General features: G+C 46.9%; 1 long non-coding RNA gene across 1 annotated transcript in view, besides 2 other annotated features; it reads left to right on the top strand.

Annotated features, from left to right (window-relative positions):
• Positions 2,892 to 3,021: an enhancer, noted in NCBI's record as "active region_27879". NCBI's record gives its function as "activates an Ori minimal core promoter by ATAC-STARR-seq in GM12878 lymphoblastoid cells {active_cell/tissue: GM12878}" and the evidence as "EXISTENCE:reporter gene assay evidence [ECO:0000049][PMID:35858748]".
• The window catches only part of LOC101927588 (uncharacterized), a 54,708-nt gene continuing 51,886 nt past the window's right edge, over positions 3,179 to 6,000 (top strand). The window contains exon 1 of the long non-coding RNA NR_125420.1: positions 3,179 to 3,293. This is a non-coding gene — a long non-coding RNA (uncharacterized LOC101927588). The remainder of the gene's footprint in view (positions 3,294 to 6,000) is intronic.
• Positions 3,415 to 3,709: a silencer, noted in NCBI's record as "tiled region #14070; K562 Repressive non-DNase unmatched - State 7:EnhWF". NCBI's record gives its function as "represses a minimal TATA promoter and a strong SV40 promoter by Sharpr-MPRA in K562 cells {active_cell/tissue: K562}" and the evidence as "EXISTENCE:reporter gene assay evidence [ECO:0000049][PMID:27701403]".

Here is a 6,000-nt window from a genome sequence, read left to right as displayed (position 1 = left end):
CACCTGTCTATCAATTTTTGTGGAATCACATCACCTTAGACTGTGAGGAACCATAAAGATATTCCATTCCAATGATGCCATTAGACATCATAACCATAGCGGAATGATATGTATGTATGGATGGATGGATGGATGAATGGGTTAGTGTGGAGATGGATAAATGAGTGGCTGGATAGATTGATGGATTGGATGATGAATGAATGGGCAGGTGAATAGGATGGATGGATGGGTGAGTAGATGGATTGATTGATAAATTGATGGTTTGGAAGATGAATAGACAATTGTGTGGGTGGATGAGTAGGTGGGCAAGTGAATAAATGGATTGTTGAATTTGAAGATGAATTAGATGGTGGATGAAGGGAGAGATGGATGAATAAGTGAGTGGGTAGATGGATAGAATGATGGAAGGATGGATTATGGATAGATAGGTAGCTGGATGGTTAGGTGGCATGATCTCCCCTACTATGGGAGAGAAAGAATGTTCACGGAGAGGTTTTTGGGCTGCCTGCTTCTATTGTATCACCCACACCACTGCCCCAACAACTTGTTAATGAAGGGAAGTCCTGGGGGGGATTGAGTGATAAGAGCATGATCTCTGAAATTAGATTGCCTGGGTTAAGTGCTGACTCTATTTAACCTCTCTAAGGCTCAGTTTTCTCATGTATGAGGGGTGAGGCTTTTTCACTGGAAAATGTGTATGCTAGCTCTGGGCAGATTTTTGCTTTTTCAGATAAAAAGTCAGTGACCTTATTCCAGGGATAGATGTTCTGATTTTGGTCAGGCCCTTCTGAATGTTTATGACATTGAACCCTGTCCCTGCTGCAAGGCCCAACACCCAAGGTGATTCATTTCTTTCTATATCAGGAAGCAAAGGGCCACAGAATATATTCATTTTGCCAACACAATGTCGTTTTTCATACAAGGAAGTCTTTAGGGATGTTTGAACCACTGAGTTAAATAAGAAAGTGAATTAGAGATGGGGCTGAATGAGTGGGAAAAGCATTTCCACTGTTGTTCTCAAATATAAGGCAAAAACACTGTTGACTTTGCCATAGCACTGCCATCCCCAGGCACGGTCTCCTTTTCTTTGAGTGGATTACTTGGTGTTGGGTGATTGTAGGAACCGAGACCCTCTGCTTCCTCTTACCTACAATGTGCCTTTGAGCCTGACCTTGAAGAAGCTTATTTCTCTTGGTGCTGATCATTATCTGCATTAGTGTGAATGCTGCATGATATGTACAAGTCATGTCTTGTACTAAATGCTTTGTATGCATTTAGCCATTTGACATACTGTATATTTTATGTAGATATTTGTTACCTTTCTGCACTCACCAAAAGGATGAAGATTTTTAAGTCTGTTTTGTTCACTGCTGTAACCCCAGAAGCTAGAACGGTGCCGACACTTCATAAGTATCTAGTACATATTTAGTAAGTAATTACGTGAGTTATCTATTTCTCAGGAGGAACCTATGAGGTGAATATTATCCTTCCTGCCTCACAGATGGGGAAACTAAGACTCAGATCTTGGATAATTTTGAGGATATTTTCTTTTTTGGGGCCACCATCTGAGACTCATAGGTAAAGAAATATGCTGAAATGAATCATTTCACAAGGAAAATATGAAGAAAATAACATTGATTTAGCTCAGTTTTGCTTTTGGAAGGCAGTTATATGGACTCTATCATGGACTTGCTTCTCTGAATGGTATGCTTAATCCTCGTTTCCCATTCGCATTTGTGTTAGGGAGAAATTATCCTTATGGGCCCTGAGGCACGGATGGGAGGGAGCAGACCATGAGGACACACTTACCAGGAAGCAGGTCTTTATGCAAATGTTCTCTCAGTTCCTCCTCACCCTAACCTGGTTATCATTCCATCTCTCAGGTGAAAACACCAAGTCTGAGGCCAAGAGCAGAGCTGGCATTTCCCAGGCTACATGATGAAGATGAAGCTGCCTATCTTTTCTGCTTCCCATTTTTTTTTCTTTTTCTTATTTATTTATTTTATTTATTTATTTTTTGAGACAGAGTCTCACTCTATTACCCAGGCTGGAGTGCAGTGATGTGATCTTAGCTCACTGCAACCTGTGCCCCCGCGTTCAAGTCATTTTCATGCCTCTGCTTCCCAGGTGGCTGGGACTACAGGCACATGACACCACGGCTAATTTTTTTTTTTTTAATGGAGTCTTGCTCTGTCGCCCAGGCTGGAGTGCAATGGTGCGGTCTTGGCTCACTGTAACCTCCACCTCCCGGATTCAAGTGATTCTCCAGCCTCAGCCTCCCAAGTGGCGGGATTAAAGGTGTGTGCCACCATGCCTGGCTAATTTTTATATTTTTAGTAGAGACGTGGTTTCACCATGTTGACCAGGTGTTCTGAAACTCCTGGTTTCAAGGGATTCACCTGCCTCAGTCCCCCAAAGTGCTGGGATTATGGGCGTGAGCCACCTCAACCGGCCTGCTTCCCTTTCTCCCTCTCCCCCTCCCCCTATGCCTCCCCCCCGCTTCCCCTCCCTCTCCCTCTCCCTCTTTTTTTTGAGATGGAGTCTTGCTCTGTCGCCAGGCTGGAGTGCAGTGGCGTGATCTCAACTCACTGCAACCTCTGCCTCCCAGGTTCAAGTGATTCTCCTGCCTCAGCCTTCCAAGTAGCTGGGATTACAGGTGTGTACCACCATGCCCAGGTACCCATTTCTTTATGAGGTTATTCACATGCTCAGCTCTTTGGCAGAGGAGTCTTTGTCACTGTTGTATCTCCAGTGCCCAGCAGAGCATCAGGTATGCAGTAGGTGCTTAACAAATGTCAGCTGAGTTGATGAAATTTCCTCAAAGCAAATTCACAGGCACATCCTATTTTAAAACAAGGAGTTGAGACTCCTTGTTCCCGCCTTTCTGTTGAGAATTCATTGTGCAATCTGACCAGGCAGGAAGTGAAATGGGGATTGTTGTGGGTTTTGTCCGCTGACAGCAAGGCCCAGATGGTGACTAATTGGCCATTATTTATTTTACTCGTATGCAGCATTTTCGGTTTTCTGTCTCCCTTTGATTGATTGGGTGGCTCCGGGCTGCAGGTGGGTCCATTTTATGCTTGGTTGGTGAGTCCCACAAAGGCCCATTAAATCAATTAAGTTGGCCGGTGTGAGAAAATCTGGGAGGGGGCAGGGAATCTGCCTGGGTTTGCTTGTCAGATAAATCCTTCCGGATCACGGGGCTGCCACGGGAGTGGCTTCCACCACACCATCTCCTGTCCTGGGTGTTGTGGGGAGATGAGTCTGGATCCTACCTGGATTCTGCCTCCAAGGTGAGCACCATCAAGTGGAGATGGGACCTCTACACATCACTGAGAACCAGGGACAAGGTGTGAAGTGCTGTAGGAGCAGTGCTGAGAAAACACTCTGACAGTTTAGAGAAGGGAGTGGAGACACCTGTTGGGGCTTGGGGTGCAGTGGTGGTGAGTACAGGGTGATAAGGAAGATTTTCTGGAAGAGATGGTGTTTGACCCGGAAGGTTGGTGGGATTGGATATGCAGAGAAGATGGGAAAAGCACTCCAGGAAGCAGGTGTTTCCTAAGCCATGGCAGAGTTTGGGAAGTGTAGAGTGTAAGTTAAAGAGCAAGTAGCTCCTCCTGGCTGAAGCAAAAGGCACATGGAAGGAAAAAACTTACGTGTGAAGTGAAATCTTTGGAATAGGTTTTAGGAAGCCCAAATGCTAGGCTGGGAGGAAGGTAGGTGCAGTGGCAGAGAGTCCTGGCTTTGGAGTCTGACCTTCTGGATTGGATATGTGGCTTGCTAGCTAAGGGACCCTGGGCAGCTGCCTTGCTAGGCATCAAAGCACATAGAACTTGCCTTCTCTTTGATCCTATTGTGAAGCTGCAACAAGGATTCAAATAATCCATGGAAAGCACTTTGCTTGGGTGCCTGGTAAGGATTTCATAGATGGAAACCGCTGTATTTTTTTGTTTTTGTTATTATTAGACAGTGAAATTTCCTGAAAGCTTATGTTGAGATATTTTGGAAAGGAAGGTGGGTGAAAAAATAATCTAAGAATCTACTTTGGAATTATCCCAAAAGGTCTGGGATCTTTTTTTCACCTGTCTTGTGAGCATCTTTTTATTTATTTATTATTTTTGAAACAGAATCTCACTCTGTCACCCTGACTGGAGTGCAGTGGCACAATCATAGCTCACTGTATCCTCAAACCCCCCAGGCTCAAGAGATCCTCCCACCTCAGTTTCCCAAGTAGCTGAAACTACAGGTGGTGCCACTGCACTCAGCTAATGTTGCTTGCTATGTTGCCCAGGTTGGCCTTGAACTCCTTGCCTCAAATGTTCCTCCTGCCTTGGCCTCCCAAAATGCTGGGATTACAAGCATGTGCCACTGCACCTGGCTATGAGCATTTTTATTAATGATGAGTTGTTTATTTTGGCTGCTTCAAGGGCATAAAACAATTTATCCCAAGTCATAGTCAACCATTGTGTGGGAGGTCATATTGAATTTGACTTTTAAATAACTAGAGAGTTTAGGTAGGAAGAACAGCTCAGTTCCAAGTTCGCTTTAAGATTTATTGAGCATTGGATGGACCAGGCAAGATGGCTGAATAGGAAGAGCTCTGGTCTGCAGCTCCCAGTGAGACCAGCACAGAAGGCGGGTGATTTCTGCATTTCCAACTGAGGTGCTTGGTTGATCTCATTGGGACTGGTTAGACAGGGGGTACAGCCCATGGAGGGTGAGCAGAAGCAGGGTCGCCTCACCCAGGAAGTGCAAGGGGTCGAGGAACTCCCTCCCGTAGCCAAGGGAAGCCATGAGGGATTGTGCCATGAGGGACGGTGCTATCTGGCCCAGATACTACGGTTTTCCCATGGTCTTCGCAACTCACAGACCAGGAGATTCCCTCAGGTGCCTACACCACCAGGGCCCTGGGTTTCAAGCACAAAACTAGGCGGCTATTTTGGCAGACCCCGAACTAGCTGCAGGAGTTTTTTTTCATACCCCAGTGGCGCCTGGAACACCAGTGAGACAGAACCCCGTTCACTACCCTGGAAAGGGGGCTGAAGCGAGGGAGCTGACTGGTCTTGCTCAGTGGATCCTACCCCCATGGAGCCCAACAAACTAAGATCCACTGGCTTGAAATTCTCGCTGCCAGCACAGCATTCTGAAGTCGACCTGGGACACGTGAGCTTGCTGGGGGATGGGGCATCTGCCATTACTGAGGCTTGAGTAGGCGGTTTTCCCCTCACAGTGTAAACAAAGCCACTGGGAAGTTCGAACTGGGTGCAGAACCAACCCACTACAGCGCAGCAAAGCCGCTGTAGCCAGACTGTCTCTCTAGATGCCTCCTCTCTGGGCAGGGCATCTCTGAAAGAAAGGCAGCAGCCCCAGTCAGGGGCTTATAGATAAAACTCCTGTCTCCCTGAGACAGAGCACCTGGGGGAAGGGGCGGCTGTGGGCGCAGCTTCAGCAGACTTAAACATTCCTGCCTGTCAGCTCTGAAGACAGCAGCAGATCTCCCAGCACAGCCCTCGAGCTCTGCTAAGGAACAGATTTCCTCCTCAAATGGGTCCCTGACACCCGTGGCTCCTGACCGGGAGACACATCCCCAGGGGGGTCGACAGACACCTCTTACGAAAGAGCTCTGGCTGGCATCTGGTGGGTGCCCCTCTGGGATGAAGCTTCCAGAGGAAGGAGCAGACAGCAATATTTGCTGTTCTACAGCCTCTGCTGGTGATACCCAGGCAAACAGGGCCTGGAGTAGACCTCCAACAAACTCCAGCAGACCTGAAGAAGAGGGGCCTGTTAGAAGGAAAACTAACAAACAGAAAACAATAGCATCAACATCAACAAAAAGGATGCCCACACCAAAACCCCATCCAAAGGTCACCAACCTCAAAGATCAAAGGTAGATAAATCCACAAAGATAAGGAAAAACCAGTGCAAAAAGGCGGAAAATTCCAAAAACCAGAATGCCTCTTCTCCTCCAAAGGATCACAACTCCTCACCAGCAAGGGAACA

This window comes from Homo sapiens, chromosome 8, assembly GCF_000001405.40.
Source record: "Homo sapiens chromosome 8, GRCh38.p14 Primary Assembly".
Classification (NCBI taxonomy): domain Eukaryota; kingdom Metazoa; phylum Chordata; class Mammalia; order Primates; family Hominidae; genus Homo; species Homo sapiens.
The sequence above is the reverse complement of the archived record's forward strand: the minus strand, read 5'-3'. Positions and strand labels throughout refer to the sequence as shown.